A 26,322-nucleotide genomic window follows, 5' to 3' on the forward strand; every position below is an offset into this window, starting at 1 on the left:
CCACTAAAAATACAAAAATTATCTGGGTGTGGTGTTGGTACCTACAGTCCCAGCTACTTGGGAGGCTGAGGTGGGAGGATCACCCGAGTCTGGGAGGCAGAGGCTGCAGTGAGCCAAGATTGCACTGGGGTGACAGAATGAGCCCTCATCTCAAAAAAAAAAAAAAAAAAAAAAAAAAAAAAAAAAAAAAAGAAAAGAAAAGAAAAAGAAAAAGAAAAAGCTTTTCTGATATAACTCAAATTCTGCGGTTTCACATGTGGACCTATTAAGGTTTGGTACACTGTCTACTTTCTCGCATTCTCACTCTCACCAGTTCCCTGGAGTCTTTCTGTACGGTAATGTCTACGATTTTCTCCACTGCCCAGGCCCTCTCATATATCAATTGAAACTTCTCAGTGTGTCTTAGCTCCTTCAGACACCTTTTTTCCCCTAAAACTCCTACTAATACTTTCAGACATACAAAGTTTAAATGTCCTTTTTGGAGAAATGATTCCTAAGTTCCCAATTTTCAAAAAAGTAGTTGTTCTATTCAATATGCTTTCATAGTAATTGCCACATTATATTTAATTTTGTAATCTGTTTTCTCAATAATTATGTGGGCCATAAAGCATTCATTTCCTCCTCAACAATGGCACCTTAACCACATAAAAAATGTAAATTTACTTGGCAGAAACCAAAACTTACCTTTGAAAATGAAGAATCTGCATACAATGTTCCTGATTTGTTGTATAAATACACCAGGAAATGTGGGTGTAAAAATGACCTAATTCAATCAAAATAATGACACTTCATTGTAATTATGTCATTAATTAAAAAATAACTTCCAGAATAATAAAATTAAACAAAATTTACTTTCAATACAAACATCTAAAAATGAAATGGACTTATCTCTATATTAACTTGCTGCTTTTTGATAGCATATTGTGAATATAAGAAAGAATAATAACCAGTATAATCAGAAAAATGTGTGGATGCTTTAATGAATTTAAAATAATCATCTAGGGCCAGGTGCAGTGGCTCACACCTGTTATCCCAGCACTTTGGAAGGCCAAACCTGGAGGATTGCTCGAGCTCAGTAGTTCAAGTCCAGCTGGGGCAACATATGGAGACCCCTCATCTCTACTAAAAATAAAAATAAAAATAAATTGGTGGGTCATGGTGGCATGTGCCTGTAGTTTTAGCTATTTGGGAAGCCAAGGTGAGAGGATGGCTTGAGCTCAAGAAATCTAGGCTGCAGTGAGTTATGATTGCACCACTGCACTCCAGCCTAGGTGACTGAGTAAGACCCTGTCTCAAAAATAAAATAAAATAAAATAAAATATAAAATAAAATAAAATAAAATAAAATAAATGAAATGAAATGAAATAAAAAAATAAAAAAATAAAATAAAATAAATAAATAAAATAAAATCAAATAAAATAAAATGGCCGGGTGCAGTGGCTCATGCCTGTAATCCTAGCATTTTAGGAGACCGAGGCAGGCAGATCACAAGGTCTAGAGATTGAGGCCATCCTGGCCAACATGGTGAAACCCCGACTCTACTAAAAATACAAAAATTATCTGGGAGTGGTGGTGCGTGCCTGTAATCCCAGCTACTTGGGAGGCTGAGGCAGGAGAATCACTTAAACCCAGGAGGTGGATGTTGCAGTAAGCCAAGATCATGCCACTGCACTCCAGCTTGGTGACAGAGCGAGACTCTGTCTCAAAAAAAAATAAATAAATAAAAATAAATAAATAAAATCACTGACAGACACAGATTTATGTACAGTAATAAGTAGGTCTGCCAGATTTCAAAAGGGGTTTTCTTTTAGATTCAACTGTAATTTTATGGCTCATATACCTTAGTTAGTATTTGTTAACAAGTAACAATAGATTTTATATATTTACATTAGTTTTCATGGTGTTATACTTTGGTAAAAACAACCCCAAAATTCTTAGTGTCATAAAACAGCAATGAGTGTCCTTCGCAAGTTTACTAAAGATTCGGCTCCATCCTGCCTTCCTTCTGGAACCTAGGAAAAGGCATAGCCCCTCCCTGAAACAGTCTCAAAATGACAACCTGAAATTAATCACTAAAATGAATCACAGAGAAGATATACAATGTTAAATAAATCTAATATTCAGTCTCTTATTTAAGCTCAATTTAGGGTAGTGATTGTAAAAATTTAAGACACTAAAAATAATGAATGAAAAAAATGGTAACTTACTGTTTTTCAAGCAGGAAGTGTATGGTTTCCCCTCAATTTTGATGGAATAAGTGGCCTGTAGCAAAATATTCAGAGAGAAAGTAATTGGTAGAGATTCTAACTTCTTAAATGTTGCAGTTCCTTGAAACATATATTCATTCATATGAATGTAGGTTATATCCTGCATGTATCAAAATTGGAATGTATAACAGAATTAATTGTAATTTAAATAAACACAAGGAGTCTAAATTTCAAAACTCAGATCATTAATCATTAGCATGTATTATTATGAGATTTGAAGTCAAAATGGGGATTATGTTTAGAAATGCTGAGAAACAGTTGAAAAAACTTGAATTTTGTTATCTTTGTTCTATTTTGCAGCTCTCAGCACAAATAAATTGAAAATAAAATAATGCAGCACAGGTTCCCAGTTAAGAATAAAATAATTATTGCCCAGCTGCCAGAGGTACTACCCACAGGCAATCCTCATCTCCTTACCCACTTTGGCTATTGCCTTAGCTCAAAAGAGTCATCTTATACAAAGTCACAACTTTCTGGGACAGCCCACATTTAATTAGAAGCCCCTCCATTTAATGGAGGTTTCTTGTTTCAGATAGATTTAGTATGGTCTTCCAAAAAGATTAAATGTGGTGATATCTTCATGATAAATTGATATTTGTATCAATAATAAAAGTCCCTTTCATTTCCAGAATGGTTTAAGGCAATTTTATTTTTTTCAACTTTATTGAGCTACGACTGAAAAACAAGTTTTATTATTTATTTAAAGTGTATATAAGATGTGTATGATGTTTTAACATACATATACATTGTGAAATGATTAAAACAATCAAATTACTGTATCCATCACCTCACATAGTTACCATTTTATCATTTGTGGTGAGACATTTGAGATCTATTCTTAGCAAATGTTAAGTAAACAAAACATTATTATTAACTATAGTGACCATGATGTGCATTAGATCTTCTGAATTTATTAATCTTATAACTCAAAGTTATAACTCAAAGTTATAAGATTATATAAGAAATTAATAAATTTTAAACATATTTGACCAATATCTTCTCTTTTCATTCACACTTCCAACCCCTGGTGACTACCATCTAATTTCTGTTACTATATGTTTGACTTTTTTTAAGATACTACATATAAGTGAGATAATGCAGTATTTGTCTTTGTGTGTCTGGCTTATTTCACTTAGCATAATGTCCTCCAGGTACAACCAGGTTGTTACAAATGATGGATGGCAGGATTTCCTTCTTTTTACAAACTGAATACTTTCTGTTGTTTGTCTATTTATCGATCAACTGATCGATCATCTATCAATCTACATTTTCTTTATCCATATACCCAGAGATTAATGCCATACTCTTTTGATTATGATAGATATATAATTTACTTTTAATATATTGTATATATTTAAAGTATACAACATAAGTTTTTGATAGTCTTATCTTGATATAGAAATAGATAAGTGATTTTTGCAATCAAGCAAATTAAAATATACATCATTCTAATATAGTTACTTTCTTTTATATTTTCCTTGTTGTTGTTTTGGTGGTAAGAGTACCTAAAATCTACTTATTGGCAAATTACCAGTATAAAACATCATATTGTTAACTGCAGTTCTTCTCTTGCACATTAGATTTCTTAGATGTTTTCATCCTATATAACTACAACTCTGTACCTTTTTACCTATATTTTCACATTTGCCCCTGCACTCTCCTCCTCACATTGAGTCCCTGGTAACCATTGTTTACTCCAAGCTTCTATATATGAAAATTTTTGAAATTCCACATATAGGTAAGATCAGGCAGAATTTTTCATTCTGTGTCTAGCTTATGTCACATAGCATAATGTCCTTTACCTTATTTCATGTTATCACAATGGTAGAGTCTACTTCTTTTTTAAGACAGAATAACATTCTATTTCATATATAAATATATACATACCACAATTTATCCATTCAGCTGTATATGGACATTTTGGTTATTTTCATATCTTGACTGTTGTGAATAATGTTCCAATGAACATGAGAGTGCAAATATCTTTATGAGGTAGTGATTTCATTGTAATATAATTGGAAATGAAGAAGTGTGATGGTGCATCAGGGTTTTTTACTCAGAATTGTTTTAACTATTTTGAGTCTTTTGTGGTTTCATGAGAATTTTAGTTTAGTTTTTTTTTTGTTTCTGTGAAAAATGCCATCGGAATGTCAATGGGCATTGCATCATTGCATTGAATCTGGAGGCTGCTTTGGGTAATATGCACATTTTAACAATATTAATTCTTCCAATCCATGAGTAAGGGATATCTTTCCATTTGTTTCTGTCTTTTTCAATTTTTCTTATCAATTTACAGCTTGCAGTTTTCAGCGTACAAATCTCTCACTACCATAGTTAAATTTATTGCTAAATATTTTATTCTTTTTAATGGTATTATAAATTTTTTTAAAAATTTATTCCTCAGCTAGTTTACTGTTAGTATGTGGAAATACAGCTGATCTGTTTTATGTTGGTTTTTGGATACTGCAACTTTACTGAATTCATATCTTTGTTCTAACCTTTTCTTCATGTAGAATGTTTAGGATTTTCTATGTATAAGATCATGTCATCTGATAATAGACAATTTCACTTGGAGGCATTTTATTTTATCTTCCTGAATAACCCTTCTGGTGCAACTTCCACCTATGGTGAAGTCCAAAGATAATGTTAGTCTTATCTCGCAAAGAGGCAAGTTTCTCTCATCTAATTGTAGGGGAAGGGCTATCCAAGAAAAGTAAGGTCAGAAGGACTTCCTAAGCTAGGGGCTTTACGTCAGGGCCTGCACGGGCACTTCCTCTCTCTTGGCAAAGACTGTGGTATCTCACAGGACACTTAAGGTGACTTAGGTCTTCCCTGCTTAAGACCAGTGGCTGCCATCCAAGTCCCATCTGTGTTTGGAGAAGGCAATACTCCATTTGGCTGTAGTTGGCAGCTCAGGCCTGGCTTGGGATTTTCCAAGTGTCCCCATCCCTTGGCCTCTTCACTGGAAGCACCACATCTCCTGTCACTTGCACACTCCGCCATTGACAGCATGCAACGATTTAGTTTTCCTGTGCTTGTTTCCTGAGAGCAAGGCATTGGCAGTTCTCAGATTTCTTTGAATAAATGTGGGGTGTTATGTAAGAAATGAAGCCACAGATACACTTATTTTATTTTATTTATTTCTTTTATTGAGACAAAGTCTCACTCTGTTGCCCAGGCTGGAGTGCAAGGGTGCTACCTTGCCTCACTGCAACCCCGCCTCTGGGGTTCAAGCGATTTTCCTACCTCAATCTCCCGAGTAGCTGAGATTACAGATGCATGCCACCACACCCAGCTATTTTTTTTTTTAAGCAGAGATGGGGTTTCATCATGTTGGCCAGGCTGGTCTCAAACTCCTGAGCTCAAGTGATCTGCCCACATTGGTCTCCCAAATTGCTGGGATTAGAGGCATGGCCACTGTGCCCGGCCTGATCTCTTTACCTTTTTCAAGCTGTTCTCCCCACACCTTCCCTTTCTTGCTTCAGAACATGCTCACAAAGGCCCCCTAAGCAGTGGGTACTGGAGATAGCAGAGTGAGCAAGGCACAGCCCTGCTAGGTGCAGTGTGGGTGGCAGACAAGGATATTGGAGATTACAATAACCCAGTCTCCTGGTGGAAATGCACAGGGGATGGACCGTGGGAATGCACAAAAATGTGGCCTAGCCCAGCCTTGAGAGGGTTTTGCAGGGGGGGCTTCGTGGGCCCCTGGGTGAGGATGTGAATTCCGGCTTCCACTGGGCCTACACTGAGTGGCCCCGGCCAGGAGGGGTCAAAAGACCTACAGGAAGAAACCGAGGCACAAAATACAATTTTAAAGACTGAGTTGAAGTGAGGACTGCTGTCGGGGACGCACTTCCAAGTTGTCTTTGGGAGTGGTCCACTTGGCCTTCGTTACAAGCAGATGAAGTTCAATGTTTAACAGTAGTGGTGAGACTGGGCACCAGTGTAGTTTTCATGATATTAGAGGAAAAGCTTTCAGCTTTTCCATATTGAGTATGATGTTAGATGTAGGCCTGTCATTTATGGCCTGTATTATTTTGAAGTAAATTCTTTCTGTACCCAATTAGTTGAGAATTTTTATCATAAAAGAATGCTGGATTTTGTCTAAAGCATTTTCTTTATCTATTGAGATGATTATATGATTTTTATCCTTTATTCTGTTAATGTGGCATATTTGTACTCATTTGCATATGTTTAACAATCCTTGAATCCCAGGAATAAATCCCAGTTGATCATGACATACAGTCCTTTTATTGTGCTGTTGAATTTGGTAGTATTCTATTGAGGATATTTGCATCTTTGACCAGGGATATTGGCTCACGTTTTTATTTTGGAGTATCTCAATCCAACTTTGATATTAGAGTAATATTGTAATACTGGCTTCATGAAATAAGTTTGGAAGTGCTCCTTCCTCTTCCATTTTTTGGAAAACTCTGAGAATAATTGTTATTTACTCTTTCTAAAAAAAAGTATTTGGTAGAAATCACCAGTGAAGTCATCTGGTCCTGGACTTTTCTTTGTAGGAGATTTTTGATTATTGATTCAGTCTTACTTGTTACTGATCTCCTCAGATTTTCTGTTTTTCATTATTCACTCTTCGTAGATTGTTTCTAGGATGCTGTCCATTTTTTCCAGGTTATGCAGTTTGTTGGCATAAAATTGTTCATAGCATGATGCTTTTACTTGGTGATGTCAATTGTTATGTCTCCTCCTTTATTTCTGGTATTGCATATTTGAGCCCTCTGCTTTTCCTAATATTGTTAAAGGTTTATTAATTTTATTTATATTTTTAAAAATATAACTCTTAGTTTTGTTACTCTATTCTATGGTTATTCTACTCTTTTCTTTTTTACCCTTTGTTTTCTTAGACCAATTGGTTGTTTAAGAAGGTGTTGTTTAATTTCCACTTATTTCGGAGTTTCCTATTTTTCCCTGTTTCTATTTGATGGAATGTTTTATAGAGGTCTTTTAGGTCCATTTGGTCTAAAGTGCAGTTTAAGTCTAAATGTTCCTTATTCATTTTCTGCTGTATACATCTATCCATGGTTGAAACTGGGGTATTGAAGTCCTCTGTTAATATTATTTCTCATTTCAATTCTGTTTAAATTTGCTTTATACATTTAGGGGGCTCTGTGCTGGGTGCATATACACTTTAAATTGTTGTATCTTCTTGATTAACTGGCCCCTTTATGATTACATTATGACTTTTTTGCCTTTTGCTACGGTTTTTGACTTAAATTCTATTTTTGTCTCATAAAAGCATAGAAACTCCTTTCCTCTTTGGATTTTGATTTCCATGCAATATCCTTTTCTATCCCTTCACTTTCGGCCCCTGCGTGTTCTTAAAGCAGAAGTGTGTCTCTCTCAAGCAGCATATCTTTGGATACTTTTAACCCATTCAGCCACTCTATGTCTTTTGAATGGAGAGTTTATAGTCCATTTACATTTAGAGTAATTATTGACATGAAGACTTACTATTGCCATTTTGATTATTGTTCTCTGGCTGTTTTATATGTTGTTTTGTGCATTCTTCCTCTCTTGCTGTGTTCCTCTGTGATTTGATGTTATCCTGCAGTGGTATCTCTTGATTATTTTCTCTTTAATTTTTGTTTATTTACTATAGATTTTTGCTTCATGGTTTACCATGAGGCTTACATAAACATATAGTTATATCAGGTTATTTTAAGATACTAGAAATTTAACTTCAATCACATACAAAAACTATGCAATATTACTTCTACACATACACATAATTTTATGTTATCTATGTCAAATTTTTCATCTTTTTATATTTTGTATTCATTAACAAACTATGGTAGTGATAGTTATTTTAACACTTTTGACTTTTAACCTTTATGTTAGAGTTATAAGTGATTCATACACCACTAATACAGTATTATAGTATTTTGAAATTGACTTATATTTACCTTTACCAGTGGGTATTACACTTTCATATGTGCTCCTTTTATAATTTATCCTCCTTTCATTTTAGCTTAAATAACTCCTTTTAGCATTTCTTATTAGGCAAGCCTAGTGGTAATAAACTTCCTCAGGCTTTGTTTGTACAGGATATTTTTTATCCCTCATTTCTGAATGAGAGGTTTGTCAGGTAAAATATTGGTTAATTATATATATTTTAGTTATATTCCTATGCACTTTTCAAGTGCATGTCAAATTTCTGTATGTAATTTATTTATCTTGTCCATCATGTATTGTGTAATATCCATTATCACTTATTTCTTCTTCACCCTGTGAAATATATAGAAGTACATCTACAAATTTCTAAATGCATTTTTGAGTTCCTTGTTAAGTTTTATTCTAATTGATTGTTACCATATAACTAGTTTTATACTACCAGTATTTGATTTTTAATTTTCTTTCTTTACTATCATCAATTTTGTTGACTGTTCTATATATTCTTCAGAAGAATATACATTACTTACAGTGGCATAGAGCTAAATTACAGCTGGATTGGCAAAGCTCTATCTTTAGATCTGGGGATCCCTACACATCTGGATATTTCAGATTCTTGTCCAAAACAAAGGCAGTGAGTGATATTTATAATGGGCTTTCAGAACTCAAAACGTCCCTGGCCAAGGAAGCCTCCTCAGTGTTTGCCTAATTATTTTGACAAGCCCTGCTTGACTATTTAAAGAGTCACTGAAAGATTTCAGCTGACTTCTCCAAAAGCCAAAATTTCTCCTGTAGTTCTTGTTGGTAGACTCAGTATGCTTTAGGAACACAGAGATTGTGTTTCTAAACAGGGAGCTCACAGTGAATGTTTCTTGGATTCATGTGTAATAAACTGTAGAGTCTAGTGAGTCCTAAAACATATCAGAACTGGAGAAAACAATATATTCACTCACTGGGTTCATGTTCTATATATATCCACTGGATAAAAATATTTTTGTTGTTCAAATTTTCTTTATCTTTATGAATTTTTTTATGATTTGTCAACCAACATTTGAGGAAAACATTTTAAGATCTCGCTATGGAAATGGATTTGACCATTTCTTCCTCTAGAGCTATGAATTTTCACTTTCTAGGTGCTGAATGCATTTTATTAAATTTATACAACTTCAGAACTGTTAAATGTTCCTAGTGAGCTGAATATTTCATCATTAAAAAACAATGCTTATCTCTCACAGTGGTGTGTGTGTGTGTGTGTTTGTGTGTGTTAGTGGAAATGAGAAAATTGAACAAAGCCTAGTGACAGTTCAAAAAGATATATATCACTATTGTTTGTTAATGAGAGTCAAATGTAATGCAACTTTTCTGGAAGATATTCTGCAATGTTTACAAAAAGTTGTAATGGCTTGCCCATTGATCTACATAAACAACTATCAAAGAAATTTTATGAAACTATCTACGAGTTGAAAATTTGATAAATGTTACATCCATATGACATATCATGAAGTCATAAAAATGACAGAGCCATATTAATTACCATAAAAGTAAATCCAATATTTATAAATAAATGAAAAAGTCAATCGCAGTCATATATAATCGTTAAAAATATATGTGTGCATGTGCATGTGTGTTTAAATATTCATTTAGTATAAATTTATTATTTTTAGAGACTGGTGTGGACATTCACTGTATTCAGCATTCTCTGTATTACCTCAATTTAATTTTACAACATACCTACTTTCCTGTTCTAATCAGATGAAAGATGACATTACTTTCATTTACAAAGGATTTATATATACATGTATAGGCATGAAGATAGTCTTTATATATTATCATGTTAAAAACATGTTGCTTGGTAAATATTAGTATGACCTCAACTATATAATAACACAGATTTAAATGTACATATTTTCTAAAAGAACCCAGTAGACTGAATATGGTTCCTTTGTGTTATAGGAATTTGGGGATTCTTTTCCTGAATCTCTGTTTTAAAACAGTTATCTAACATTCATATATTGAGAAATGAAAAAAATATCAAAGTCTTGCTGTCATTCAGACCAAATGACTCCTTAGCACGGTAAATTAGAACACAAACTAAATTTCACAAAGGGATATGTATGAATTGATTGGGGCCATGTAGTCCAGAAAAAACAAAACACCATAATTTTAAAAGGTGATCTCTTAATTACATGCGTTTCTGAAACATCACCATCATTGGTGTTTGTCTGGATCTTCTGTGGTACTGTAATTTGCAGAACTGGTGTTTCAGAATCTGCATGAGGAAAAGCATATGTGAGCATTCCCAGTGTATTCATGTCACAGTGTCCTTTCTTATCACTCTTTAAGCTTCCATCACACACACACACACACACACACACACACACACACACACACACACACACACACGAGTCCAGTTCCAGGAAGACGCTCCTCCAGGCGTGGGAGGTTTACCCTAGCTCTGCCCAAGGACACTTCAGGGTTTGGTGACTTCAGCCCTGCGTGGGAGAAGTGTGGGCTGCTGCTCCCAGACCCCATCCGGCATCCCCACTTCCCACTGCAGCCTGGGGTCCGACACTTGTAAGCAGTTCTGGGGCCCCCTTCCCAGCCTGGCCTGCGCTTCTAGGCCTTGCCAAAGGCGAAAGCGGAAAGGCGGCCTCCTCTCCTGCAGGGCTCTTTACTTACGTGGGCCCGCGGAGGTCAGCCGGCCCAGGCCTGAGAGGATCAGCAAGAGAGACAGCATTGCGTAGCCGGCGGCCCAGCCACAGGGATGGCCGTTGTCCTTGGAACGGCTGCAGCTCGAGGCCAGGGTGGTGGAGGCCGAGCGGAGCGGAAGGGCCGTGGGGTCCGCGGGGCGCGGCGGGGACCCAGCTCCGTGGATCCCGAGGCGGGTGGATCCTACAGCCCCGCGCGCCCACCCACAGTGGGCTGCACCGGAGGAGGCACGTGGGAGCCTGCATTTCTGGGTACGTGGGCTCTTTTTTCTAAAGAGTTGACATTTACAACGCATTCAGGGGTAACATAGGGTTATAAAGCACATTTCTACTCTAGACCTTTTGCTGATGAAGCCTTGGCAATATGATTGTTCAACATCATAGCCTTCTGGGAAGACAGTTGAATTACTGTAGTGAAGGAAAACAGAAAAAAAAAAAATAAGAATCATAGTATGTTTAGCAGCAGCCAATTGCCAATTTTAGTAATATCTACTTCTAGTTTTCTGCTCTTAAGACTCAGGTGAAAACACAAACAGATACTAAAAACTAAAAAATCAATTTCTTAGAAAACTGTCTAAGGAGTTTAAGTAAAATGCGAAATATGGATATATGGATGTATTTTATTATTTTAGTACGATTTATAAGTATCAGGCAAAAAAATCACACCTATAAAATTACTTCATAAAAACAATCAAAATCCATTTATTTATTGACTTTTCCACACTTTTGTTTCTTAGAAAAGCTTTATGGCTTAGGGAGACTTAATGAAAAGCCAGACATATTTTCCCCCATCAATATGGAGTTCACACAAGGAATGATAATATAGTTAGTTGGAAATAATTTTATTTTATCTCTTACTGTATAAGTAGGTGGTTTGCCTAATTTCAATTTTTTTTCAATTTATTATTTATTGTAACATTTGTATTGTAGTAAAATACACAATATAAAAATTATGATCTTAATGCTTTTTAAGCCTACTTTTCAGTGGAATTAAATACATCCATATTGCTGGGCAACCATCACTATCATTCACCTCCAAAACTTTGGATTTCACCAATTTTTACATAAACTGACTTGTTTGTGATTTCGTGTATTGATTTGTGTACCCAATACAAAAATTGACATACATATTGACATACAGAACTATTTCATGACCACAAGGAACCTATATACTACGGCTATAGAGTATACTGACCTACCTTACTCGTAATTCCTAGTCACTGGCAAACACTAATCCAGTCTCCACAATCCATCTCCATAATATTATTTTTGATACTATATATAAGAAGCATTATATAGTATCTCTTGAAATTTGTTTTTTCACTCATATCATTCCCTTGAGATACATCAAATTTTTTTCTTGTATTAATAATTCATTTTGTTACTTCTGAGTAGTATACATAATACAAATGTTCCACAGGTTATTTAACCATTCATCCATCAAACAATATTTGGGTAGTTTCCAGTTTTTAAATTTGCAAAAAACATTGCTATGAATGTTCATGTACAAGTTTTTATATATAAATCAAATTATACATTAGTTAGACTAAGTGAGAAAACAGTAGACTGAAATAAATGAAAATTCGAAATAAATGAAGAGACATCCCAACTGATACCACAAAAATAGAAACGATCATGAGGGAATACTATGAACATTTATATGCCAAGAGGTTGGATAAAGAAGGAGAGATAGATACTTTTTCACATGCATACAATCTATTAAGATTGAATCATGAAAAATAGAAAATCTGAGCAGGCCAATAATGAATAAGAAGATTGAATTAATAATAAGAAGACTCCCACCAAATAAAAGTGCAAGACTTTATAGCTGAATCTACCAAACATCTGGAGAATTGATACCAATCCTTCAAAACTCTCCTGAGAAATTGAAGAAGAGGCAATTCTTCCAAACTCACTTTAATAGACAAACATTATTCTGAAACCAAACCCAGACAAGGGAATCACAAAGAATGAAAACAACAGGTAGACCGTGGTGGCACACACCTGGAATCCCAGCAATTAGGGAGGTTGAGACGGGTGGATCACCTGAGGTCAGGAGTTCGAGACCAGCCTGGCCAACATGGTGAAACCCTGTCTCTACGAAAAATACAAAAATTAGCCGGGCATGGTGGTGGGCACCTGTAGTCCCAGCTACTTGGGAGGCTGGGGCAGGAGAATCACTTGAACCCAGGAGGCGGAGGTTGCAGTGAGCCGAGATCGTGCCACTGAACTCCAGCCTAGATGACAGACCAAGACTCCCTCTTAAAAAAGAAAAAAAAAAAAAAAACTACAGGCCACTAGTCCTATAAACATGGATGCAGAAATCCTCAACAAAATACTAGCAAATCAAATTTAACAGTATATTAAAGGGGTCGTCCACTGTGATCAAGTGGGATTTATTCCTAGGATACAAGGATGGTTCACAATACACAAATGAATTTATATAATATACCACACTAACAGAATGAAGTACAGAAACCCTATGATTATTTCAAAAGTTGCATACAAAGCATTTGAGGAAATTTATTCATCCTTTTGTAAAATACTCTGATCAAATTAAGTATAGAAGGAATGTTTCTTTATTCAATAAAGGCTATGTATGACAAACACAGGGCTAACATCATAATCAATAGTGAAAGGTTGAAAGATATTTTTTCTCTGAGATTAGAAACAAGACAAGGATATCCACACTCTTCACTTTGTTCCAACATAATATCATTTCTGGTCACAACTAGGCAAGAAAAATTTAAAAATGCATTCTAATGGGAAAGGAAGAAGTGAAATGGACTCTTTGTAAATGACATGATATCATATCTAAAATTATATGTTTTATGGATATAATTTATATATATTAAAACATATAAATATGTATATATTTAATATATAAGTATATATAAAATTATATATAATTTATAATTTTAAATTAATTTAAAATTAAAGACTCCACCAAAAAACTGATAGAACTAATAAACCAATTCAGTAAAGATGCAGAATATAAAATCAGAGTATAAATATCAGTAGTGTTTGTATGCATTAACAAAAAACTGTGCAAAAAAAAGGGATTTAAAAATTAGCCTCTTTATTAAAATACTTGGGAATAAATTTAACCAAGGATGTGAGAGATCTGTGTGCTGGAAATAATAAAACATTAGTGAAAGAAATTGAAGAAGATACAAATAATTGGAAAGATATTCCTTGTTTATGGATTGGAAGAATTAATATGTTAAAATCTCAACGATACCCTAAGCAGTCTACAGATCAGTGCAACCCCTATCAAATTTACAAGAACATTTTCCACAGAATGGAAAAAACAATGCTAAAATTTTTATATACAACAAAAGACCTCAAATCATCAAAGAAATCTTGAGCCAAAAGGACAAAGCTGAAGATATCACACTGCTTGTTTCAAAATATATTACAGAGCTATGGTAATCAAACCTTCATGGTTCTGTCATAAAAACAGACTGATTAAAAAATGGAACAGAATAGATCCCAGAAATAATCCCCACAAAATTTTGGTCAATTGATTTTTGAGAAAGGTGCCAAAAACATATACTGGGGAAATTACAGTTTCCTCAATAAATTCTTTTGGGAAAACTTCATATCCACATGCAGAAAAATGAAATTGGATCCATATCTCATAACATATACAAAAATAAACAAAAATTGCATTAACGACATAATGGTAATATCTAAAATTGTAAACTATTAGGAAAACACAGGGGAGGAGCTCCACAACATTGGTTGGGGAATAGTTTTTTGAGAACTGCATCAAACTAAAAAGCTTTTTCACAGCAAAGAGAAACAACACAGTGATGACATATTTTCTGATTGGCAGAAAATATTAGTAAGCTATAAATCTGATAAGCGACGATTATCCAAAATATGTTGGAAACAACTCAACAGCAAGAAAACAACCTGATTTGGGCAAAGTATCTGAGTATAGACATTTCTCAGAAGAAGACACACAAGTGGCCAAAAAGTATATAAAAATATGCACAAAATCACCAATCATCCAAGAAATGCAAATTAAAATCACAATGAGCTATCACCTCAGACATGTTAAAATAGGTATTATCAAAAAGACAAAAGATAACTAGTGACAACAAGGATGTGGATAAAATAAAACCCTTGTTCATTGTTGGTGGAAATGTAATTTAGTGCAGCCATTATGGAAAACATTATGGAATTTCTCAAAAATATTAAAACATAGCTACCATATAATCCAGCAATTATACTTCTGGGCATATATCCAAAGAATTTAAAATCAGTATATTAAAGAGATATCTACACCAATTTTCATTTCAGCATTACTTACAATAGCCAAGATTCATCAACAGATGAATGGATAAAGAAAATGCCCAGTATTTATTTCTCCTATTCCATTGTCCACAATGGAATACTTTTCAGCCTTAACAAAATGAGAAAATTATGTCATTTGCAACAACATGGAGGAAGCTTGAGGACATTATGCTTAGTGAAATAGGCCAGGCACAGAAAGACAAATATTGCATTATATCACTTATATATGAAATCTAGAAAAGTCAAACTTAGAATTAGGGAACAGAATGATGGTTACCAGAGTTTGGAGGTAAAGAAGTGGAGAGATTTTAGTCAGAGGGTACAAAGTTTCAGTTAGACAGATGGAATGAGGTTTTGAGGTCTATCATACAGTATGCTGAATATAGTTAATAATAATGTAATTCATATTTCAAAAATGCTATTAGAGTAGATTGCAATTTTTCACACCACAAAAATAATTATGTGAGGTGATGAATATGTAATTTATCTTAAGTATTCCATAATGTATGCATATATAAAAACATCATATTGTACCCATAAATAAATATATTTATTTTATTTAAAAATTAATTACAAACACCCAATCTGTAATGTGAAAGTCACTTTTAAGGAAGTAGAGAAAAAAGTAAATTAAGAAAGCAATGATACAAAACCAATGGGAAAGAAAATCTAATGACATGTGATGGTTAATTTCATGTGTCAATTTTGGTAGGCCATGTTGCTCAGATATTTGGTCAAACATTATTCTTGGTGTTTCTATGAGAGTGCTTTAAATGTGGTTCACGCTGGCGGACTTTGAGTAAAGTGGATTGTCCTCCATAATGTGGGTTGGCCTCATCCCATCTGTTGAATACTGGAGAGAATGAAAAGACTGACCTTCCTCCAACAGGAACTTCAGCATCAGGTCCTTTTGCGTTTTCAGCCTGATAGCCTCTGGACCTCAATTGTAGCATCAACTCTTCCTCTCTCCATCCTGCTGGCCAACTCTGCTGATTTTGAACACGTCAGCCTCTGTAATCATATAAGCCAATTCCTTATGATAGACAGCTTTCTATTTATATAAACCTCCTATTGATTCTGTTTCTCTGGAGAACCCTGACTAATATAGTAAGAAAAACTAACAATGGCAGTTCAAGATAAGTGAAATTATCATGAATAAAGTAGCATGAAAACTATTCCAAGTTATTAAAGAATAGAAGTTTATTGAAATAAAGGTGCCCTGAATGAGAAAAAAAATTTCAAGAAACTCTGATAAAAACTTATATCACTGAGGTATAATGAAATTAATATATTGGACTTTGTAATTAAATAATGAAAAATCCTATGGGCATCTTGGCCACAAAGAAAGTCAATAATGAGGTTAGGAAAACTGACTCGTGTTGGGCTTTGACAAAATGGAGTGCTTACAAGTGAGTCAAATAATTTCTATGAACTTAGTAGAGGACATACAGTATCTCAACAATGTTTTACACAGTCAAATTCACATTGTAGTATAAACATTCTCACTTTTTCAAGAATTCTAAGACTGCAATATCTATGGAACTTTGTGGCAATGTTACTTAAATCAATACAGCCAAACAGGAACCGAAATACACAATTTAACAGATACATGTAGAAAATCGGTGGGATCATAACGATAGTTCCAGAAAAAATCATTTGGAAAAATTCCACATCCATTCATGATTAAAAAGTATGAATAGAGAACTTTATTGGGCCCAGAGTGGTGGCTCACACCTGTAATACCAGCACTTTGGGAGGCCGAGGTGGCCGATCACCTGAAATCAGGAGTTTGAGACCAGCCTGGCCAACATGGTGAAATCTCATCTCTACTAAAAATACAAACGTTAGCTGGGCATGGTGGCATGCGCCTGTAATCCCAGCTACACGGGAGGCTGAGGCAAGAGAATCGCTTGAACCTGGTAGGTGGAGGTTTCAGTGAGCCAAGATTGTGCCACTGCACTCCAGCCTGGGGGACAGAGCGAGACTCCATCTCAAAAAAAAAAAAAAGAAAGAAAGAAAGGAAGAAAACTATTGATCTAATTAAGAACATCTATGAGAAACCTACAGCTAACATAATAAATGTAAATGACTGAATGTTTTCCACCTGCTATAAACTGCATGTTTATGTACCCCACAAATCCACATGTGGAAACTCCCCCAAAAAGATGGGATTAGGAGGTCAGACTTTGGAAGGTAATTAGATTAGTTGATAAGAACCCAGCCCTCCTGATGGAATTAATTTTCTTACAAAAAGAGGGCAGCATTCAGAGGATCTTTATCTCTGCTCTCTGCCATGTGAAGACACAAAGAGAAGACAGCAGTCTGCAAGCCAGGAAGAGAATTCTTACCAGATATCAGATCTATGAGTGCCTTCATCTTGAACATTTTTGTCTGAAGAAATGTGAAAAAGCATGTTTGCTGTTTAAGCCACCCAGTCCATGTATATTTGTTACAGCAATTTAAACTAAGATGGGATTGGGATTACTACTTCCATTCAATATTTTACCAAAGTTTCCAGTGTAACACGAAAAGTAACAATAATAAAGGGCATAGAGTTTAAAAAGGAAATGGTAATCCTACTTATCTGGATCCTTACTCTCCACATAAAAAATCCTAAAAAGTCACCACTAAAAGTACCAGGACTAATAAGAATTTAACAAGTCACATGAAATAGAGGAATTAGCATTGTTAAATTGTTCATTATTCCCAAATTGATCTGTAGATTCAGTGCAATACTAATGGGAATTCTAGGAAGCATTTTTTTTTGTAAAAATTGGTTATCAAATTCATAAAGAAATTCAAATATCCTAGAGTAGTCAAACAGTTTTATAAGGTAGAATAAGAAGGACAACTTGTATTTTTCTTAAAAGGAAAGGAGAACATACTTCTTAAAAGACCAGATTGTAAATATCTTAAGCTTGTGAGAAATGTGGTCTGTTGAATCCACTTCATTCTGCCTTTGTAACATGAAAGCTGCATAAATGATATGTAAATAAATGATTATGGCTGTGTTCCAATGAAATATTATTTTGAAAACAGGGCCATAGTTTGCTGACCCCTGCATATTGTGTTATTGGCATAAGAATAGACATATAGAACAGTAAAACAGAATGGAGAAATCAGAAGTAGACCTATATATTATTGGTTGACTTTTTACAAAGGTGCAAGGACTTTCAAAGGGTAAAAAATTATCTTTTCAACAAAGGATGCTGGAAGAATTGTATACCATATAGAATAAAATATACTTTGACTCATGTAGAAAATGAATTAGACATAGACTTATATGTCAAGGCTAAACAAAATTTCTAGTGGAAACTTTAGGAAAAAACAAATTAGTGGGTCACAAACATGTGAAAGATATTCAACATCATTACTCATCAGAGAATGGCAAAGAAAACCTCAGTGAGCTGTCAATACAGACCAACAAGAATAAATATAACAAAAAAGACTGACAATACAAAATATAGGTAAGGATGTGGAGCAATGGGAATTGATTTATTCTTGTTGAGAATGAAAATGATCAAACACTTAGGAAAGCGATTTGGCTTATTTGTACTATTTATACACTCACAATTACCATATGACTCAGGTATTCTATTTATACATATTTACCAAGAAAAATAAGAACACATAACTGCACAAAGACCTGGATATTCAGAGAGGCTTTATTTATAATTGCTAAAATGTGTTAGTAATCCAAGTGACCATCACCAGGTGAATGTGTAAACAAATTGTGATGTATCTATAAATGGTACACTACTTAGCAATAAAAACTAATGGACAACTAGTAATCACAACATTGATGAATACTGAGTGAAAGAAGCCAGATATTTTAAAAGTGCATGCCATATGATTCCAGTTATATGAAATTTCAGAACAGATTATTGATAGTAAGAGGAAGCAGATCATCTGTTGTCTTGAATCATGTGATCTATTGACACAGTAGAGGATGTTGGAAACATTCTTTATCTTAGTTGTGAAAAATGCATATGTAGGAGTGTACTGCAACTCTTATAACTTTATACTTAAACCTGATGCATTTTATTGGAACATAAAGCTCAACAAAGTTAATATAAAAGTTATAAGTATAAAAATGATGAGAAAAGAGAGACATCATTTGGGGTAAAGTTGTTTAGCTTAAAGGTAAGGGTGATACCTTACAGAGTACCCACGAATTTTTCAGAGGATGGAAACATTAAATTCTCTCATTTTTTGAAGACATTAATTAGGAAGAATATAAAATTAAAGCTTCCTGTTGTTTACTAAAATTCTTATTTGGACTCTGACCTGCTTATTTACTAAGTAGATATGCATCCCCTTATTTTCCTATGATCTACATCTATATCTATTGTCAGAGCTATAGCTATATCTATGTGTCTGTATCTGTGTTTGTATAGAACTGTATCTACTTTACCTCTGTGCAGGTGTGTATACATATATGGTATATATAAATATATAGCATATAATAATTTCAATGTAAAATTTTTGAAATTGGTTTAATTCGTGTACTCTGTTTCACAGAAAGAGTCACATGTTGCACTATTGAAAAGAACCCTGAAAATACAAATCATTATGGATAAAGCTTTGGTATGCATTACTGATATATTTCATTATATCTTTGTTTTTTGTTTAAAATCAGGAGGAATATGCAAAAGAAATTTCTATTGTTTGCAATGCAGGCATATTTTACTCTGTTCAAAATATGTGTCTCGGTAAAACAGGACATTAAGAAATGTTATCAATGGTCTTTATATTGACATCGGGAGATATATTTAGGTATTGATTACCAAATTCATATAAAAGTCTAGCAATAATGTACACATTTTTACAGAAGAGCTCTACCACACTATAATCTACTGGATTATAACTAGTAGCAGATATTCTGGATCCACTTCAGCTCTTAGATGAAGCCTTTTACCTAAATTGATTATCATTTTAAAACAAGCTATTTCACTTATTCAATTGGAAATCTTTCTCATTAAATACTATATGTATCAAAATTATGATATGCTTTATAATTGCTCGAGTTCTCTTTTAGCGGCTCTGTATTTTAAAAATGAGAAGAATTATTTATAAGAACATTCAGGTTGCTACAGAAATTATTGTTTACATCAATCAGTTTCAGCAAGAACTTATTGTCAGTAAGTTAAATTAACTGATTTGTTCATTATCATTGATATTTTTGCATAAAGTCTCTTAATGAGTGTCAGAATGTTCTAAATTTTGTTCCTAAAACAAAATGTTTGTATAACTTAATACATTTTTATAAAAATAATAATAGAAAAATATAGATGAATAAAATAATTTATGACAAGGTGATAAATTATATGCATATATTTCTGTTTTTCATATAATGTATATATACATAAACCTTTATTTTATATATGCTATTTTATGAACTGTTTTATAATGTTTTCCCTCATATTCATTAAATACATCATGTCAATTTAATTTCAATATTTATATATTGTCTATTTAATATGTTTAATGGAATTTAATCTATTTTACTAGCAAATGCCTTTCAGGACATTTAGATTTTATTATTATTGTTATTACATGAGGAATAATACTCTTTGGCAGAAAAACAAGATCACAAGCATTGAAATTGTGCTTTGCCGCAGCTAAAATTAAATCCATCAGCCTACTTTCCTGTCCCCACTTAGCCATATACCTTCTTACCATCCCAGTAACAATGGAAACCATTTTTAATGAAAAAGCCATCCTTCAAAAACAACCAGAGAGTTTTTTTGAAATAATATCCTATGATTAGTATTTCCCCTCTTTTTATTTTAAACTTATCTATCTTTAGTTTTAAAGTATAACACTGGGAAACAGCATATTGATTGACAGTCTTTGTCCCTCCCTATCTAGTGAGATAACCCCTGCCTTTTCATTAGAACCTTTAGTTGGTTTATGTTTATCAAAAGTACTGATAACTATATATGTAAGTTAAGTTCTACTTTGCTATTAGTGTTCTTTTTTTCAAATCACTTATTTGCTGCTTTGTTCCTTGTTTCCTACCCGTGGGTTATTGGCTTATTTTTAGTACTTATTTTTATCTTTTATACTGATTTTTTTTTTTTTGCTATCTTCTGTTTCCAGACCTTCATCCCAGCAGTTTTTCTAGTTGCTACAATTAGCACTCTTATCATTATCTAGAATTACCACCTCATATATGATGTAAGAGCCATAAAACAGTAAAGCTTCATTTAACCCAAATCAGTCATTGTTATTATTGTTATTTTGTTGTTATATATATATATATATATATATATATATATATATATATATATATATATATTTTTTTTTTTTTTTTTTTTTTTTTTTTTTTGAGACAGAGTTTGGCTCTTGTTGCCCAGGCTGGAGTACAATGGCACAATCGCAGCACACTGCAACCTCCGACTCCGGGGTTCAAGCAATTCTCCTGCCTCAGCCTCCTGAGTAGCTAGGATTACAAGCATGCACCACCATGTCCGATTAATTTTGTATTTTTAGTAGAGATGGGGTTTCTGCAAGTTGGTCAGACTGGTCTTGAACTCCCGACCTCAGGTGATCCACCTGCCTCGGTCTCCCAAAGTGCTGGGATTACAGGCGTGAGTCACTGTGCCCGGCCCATTGTAATATATTTTCATTCTTATGTGTCATAAATTCACAAGAAATTAATTTTTAATTGAGTAGTTGTTGTTTAAAGAAATTAAAGAAAGAATATATTTTATGTTTCTCCACATATTTACCATTTCCAAGGCTTTTAATTCCTTCTAATAGGTCTGTGTTTCTGATATGTATCTTTTGACTGTTGAATTCTCTTTAGCTTTTGTTTGTCTGAAATTATCTTTACTTGTTAAATACTTTACTTGTAAATAACATCAACTTTCAGAAAAGTTGCAACATTGAGAATTATACAAAGAATGCCTCTATTCTCTTTATCTATATGATTTGTTAATTTGTATCTTATTATCACTTTGCTCTCTCCATGTAAAAGCAAGTTGTATATTGCATCATGGAGCATTATTCTCAAATATTTCAGAGTGTATTTACATAGAACAAGAACGTTATCTTTTATAATCACAGTGGAGTTATATGCCTCAGAAAGAATAGCCACATACTTTTATCTTCTATCACTTCATTGCTCTGTAGTTGGATAATATAAGTGATACGATGTATTATATTTAAAGAAGCTGTTTTATGGTCTAACATGGATCAGTTTAAATAAGACTTTCATATATGTTTGAAAAATATATATAATCTCTGAAGCTTACATATATGTGTATGATATCCGCCATTTGCTTGGGTTTTAAAATCTTGTGTATTGTTACCGTTAATTCATCTGCCTGATCTATTAGTTATTGAGATAAATGCATAGCAATATCTCACTCTAATAGTCAATTCCTATTTATTATTTTATTAGTTTCTTTCATGTATTTTATAGCCATATTATTAGGTATAAGTAAGTTTAGAATAGGTTTTTCTGATGAGTTGAATATTTTTATCAATATGTTGTGATAAGCATGTCCATTTTTTGCCTTTAAGCTCTATAATAGTTATATATTAAACACAACTATTAATATATAACTATCAATGTAACTATTATGTTAACTAATATAACTATCATATAACATAAAATGCTTATTTTCTAGTATTTTTCTGGTATATTGTCATCCTTTAGCTCTTAGTATTTCTGTGTCCTTATGTTTTCAGGGTTTTAAATTTGTTTATACAGGGTTTTCTTTACCCTCTTTGTCCTTTAGTATTTGATCTGTTGATATCTTGTGGTTATTTGGATTCACTTCCACTATCATGCTTTTGTTTTCTGCTGTCTTGCTTTTCATATGTTTAGCCTTGTAAAGGAGCACCTTCCCTCATACCACATATCCTACATTGTGTAAACGTGTAATACGGTTAATTGAGGAAGGTTACATACAGAGAACTAGGAAAATGTAAAACTGTTTCTAAAAGGCCTGGACTCCAAGTTAGGAAGATAACATCTCTTTTGTCTATATCAGAGAGGAAAATTCTATTTCATTATTTTTTTCTGTCAGGAGTCTTCTGCAGACTTGCTGGAGACTATTGAAGATCCCAAGCTATGAATTTTTGTGTTTTCAGCAAACAGAAATGTGTGTGTACACTATTTGCTACAATGTTTCAGAGAAAATACTGTAATTTTTCTCTTGAATGAGGATATATTATTGAAATTAATAACCATTGCAGTACTCAGGGCAGTGTGTTTAGAAGGCACATTGTTTATCCAGGATATATAGTCATGTTGTTTTATTGGAATGAAAATGAATGATGGAAGTATACAACAGTAGACAAAATAGGCTTAGTAGTTGAGTAAAAAGTCTGAGGCCTGGTTCTGATCTTTGATGAATATGTGCTCTTGTGGAACAGGAATTAAGAAAAATTAAGGAGTGTGTAAGCAGAAACTCAGTTGTATGTAAGAAAACCCAATTCCCCCTAAGAAAGAGAAAGAGTTGGAGTCCTTTAAAAATTAACTGCCTGTTTTACTGCGGCCAGTGAGCCTTATCTCTCCTCCTTTCCCAGGCATTGTGAAAACCCTGATTCCCTAGCTGTGCAGCTGCAAGGTCACTAGACAGATAAACTCAAGTCGCAAAACATGTTTTTCCTTGAAAAGTAAGAAATGATGTAATGCATGTCACGATTAATTAAATAACTGTCTTTGTTTCTCGCTTCTGTAATATGCTTCCCCCTGCACAGATCTGCCCCCGCCCCCATGAAATGCTTAAAAGGTAACAACTTGTTGTTCAGGGCTCGGTCCTTTGGATGTTAACCTGACTGGGCCGGTGCACCTAAATAATTAATAAATATCCTTCTGAACCCCATCTGTCTCTCTGATTCCTTAAAAATATCCTGCAACATTGGAAACTTCACTTTTTGACTTTTCATATATACATATATGTAAGGAAGATAATCACAACTATCTCATTTTAATATCATTAATTAATGTATAAAGTCTCTAGGGTTATGCCTCAAACTTAGCAGTTAATTTTGTTTTTGTCTCTTCACTTTAGCACTGCATTATTCTAACATTTTATATTTAAATACATTTACAATGTGATAGTTCAGTCATTTTCACTAGGGATTAAGAAAGAAAATTTGTCTTTCAGTATGCTTATATGGGCTCTGATGTGACAGCTGCAGCTGAGAAAGTTGTCCATATCTTTGGTCTTATCAACACTGTAAGTATTTATCTTCAGTATTTAATAACAAACATTTATTTTAATGCAGTAGCACTGTTTATATAAATAGCATTTTCATTTTTATAAAAACTACAGTTGTGCTAACTAGTTTCATCCACCAATGGATTCTTCTCCAAAAAATAGTAAATTGAATATATTAGCATTATGTATGGAGATGTAATGTTATATTTATGGTCACCCAAAACTGTATATCATATAGCTTCTGTTTTCAGATGTTTTCTCAGCTTAAAACAAGTATTACGCTATCTTCTTTGGAGCTCTGGTCAGATGAAAATAAGATTTCAACTAATGGGGTTGCTGATGATGTACTACAAAGGTTTTTATCATGGAAACAAAAATTTATGTCTCAAAAGTCCAATATCGTGGCATATTTATTAATGTAAGCAATTTATTCACACTGATAGGAGGGTTTTCAAATATTTAATATGTTCACTATCAAAATTATACACAAAATTTATTATATGTATAATGCTAAGACACCTTAAAAAGATTTATTAATACTGCATTACCAAAATGCAGAATATAAAAATCTGATAACCATATAATGCACTAATTAAATCATAGTAGGACATTGTTCTTAAAGTGGACCATTTACTTATGGAAATGTAATGAGCTGAAAAATGTAAAGCTTTTGGATAAACATTGTGCCTTAATAATTGTAAAGCTCTTCTTAGTGATAAATAGTTAAAACCATCATTTTATCATTATTTAAAATGTAAACCAATGGGATGCAAAATATGCAAAAATAATGAAATGCAAAAATTTCATATGATGCTGGCTACAACACAAAACATTAAAATAGTAAATCACTGAAATGGATTACTTTATGATCCCTGTGGTTCTTCTGGCATTTCTATGATAATATAATGTATAGCTGTTAAAACACTTGCTGTGTATCTTTGAAGAGTCTTTACGTGGATTTTTTTTTTAATTTTACTAATTTGATTATTTGGGGCCAAAAACACAATCCTAAAGATCTTAAGCAATACGTAATAAATTTGCAAATCTGTGATGTCTACTGTGGAAGCAGAAATAAGGTTTAGGAATTCAGAAGCAAAATTAACAAATGACTAAAATGTGTGAGGATATCGTACTACATCATCTCTCTCTTTTTTGTAATGAATGTACTGCATGTTCTATCTCTCTCTCTCACCTTTAACATTCCTTACAACGTTTAGTATTGGTTTACTATATGAAAATCATGGCAGTAAATAACCCTGACTTTTAGATTTTAGAATTTTATCCAGCCAGTTATGATGACAGCAATAATTAATTTTGCGGAAATTATCTTGCAAAATTGAAACTCTAAACCTGTTATACAACCCTCATTTTACCCCTGCCCCCAATCTCTGATAACAACCAGTTTACTTTCTATTTCTACAAATGTGACAACTTTAGATTATTTATATAAGTAGAATTATGTAGTATTTTTCTTTTTGCAACTGACTTATTTCACTTAACATAATGTCCTTACGGTTTGTTCATGTTGTAGTGTGTGACAAGATTTCATTCCTTTTTAAGGCTGAATAATAGTACATTGTTTGTGTATGTGTGTACTTGTGATTTTATTCATTCACATGTCAATGGACACTTAGGTTGTTTCATAATTTGGCTATTTTGAATAATGCTGAAAACATAGGAGTACAGATAGCTCTTTAAAATCCTGATTTTAATTCTTTTGGATATACACCCAAGAGTGGGATTGACGGATCATATAATAGTTATATCATTAATTTTTGGGGAAATCACCATACTAATTCCATAGCAGTAGCACCATTTTATAATCCCATCAATAGTACGTAATTGTTCACATCTTATACACCACACTTTTATTCCTAGTTCATTTAATATTTTTATTACAAAAGTGTGTGAAATCTTATGAAATGTATTTTCTACAACAATTGAGATGATCAC

General features: G+C 33.4%; 1 pseudogene across 4 annotated transcripts in view, besides 2 other annotated features; it reads right to left on the minus strand.

Annotated features, from left to right (window-relative positions):
* ADAM3A (ADAM metallopeptidase domain 3A (pseudogene)) overlaps positions 1 to 11,096 on the minus strand; it is a 71,945-nt pseudogene extending 60,849 nt beyond the window's left edge. For all 4 annotated transcript variants that reach the window (NR_001569.3, NR_024106.2, NR_024107.2 and 1 more), the window contains exons 1-3: positions 10,860 to 11,096; positions 2,208 to 2,262; positions 685 to 763 (exon numbers count right to left, since the gene is read on the minus strand). The product of NR_001569.3 is annotated as an ADAM metallopeptidase domain 3A (pseudogene), transcript variant 2 (transcript). The remainder of the gene's footprint in view (positions 1 to 684; positions 764 to 2,207; positions 2,263 to 10,859) is intronic.
* Positions 10,463 to 10,989: an enhancer, noted in NCBI's record as "H3K27ac-H3K4me1 hESC enhancer chr8:39379875-39380401 (GRCh37/hg19 assembly coordinates)". NCBI's record gives its function as "activates a minimal SCP1, AML or CMV promoter by ChIP-STARR-seq in naive H9 embryonic stem cells {active_cell/tissue: H9 hESC(naive)}" and the evidence as "EXISTENCE:reporter gene assay evidence [ECO:0000049][PMID:30033119]".
* Positions 10,990 to 11,515: an enhancer, noted in NCBI's record as "H3K27ac-H3K4me1 hESC enhancer chr8:39380402-39380927 (GRCh37/hg19 assembly coordinates)". NCBI's record gives its function as "activates a minimal SCP1, AML or CMV promoter by ChIP-STARR-seq in naive H9 embryonic stem cells {active_cell/tissue: H9 hESC(naive)}" and the evidence as "EXISTENCE:reporter gene assay evidence [ECO:0000049][PMID:30033119]".

This window comes from Homo sapiens, chromosome 8 (genome assembly GCF_000001405.40).
Source record: "Homo sapiens chromosome 8, GRCh38.p14 Primary Assembly".
Lineage (NCBI taxonomy): Eukaryota > Metazoa > Chordata > Mammalia > Primates > Hominidae > Homo > Homo sapiens.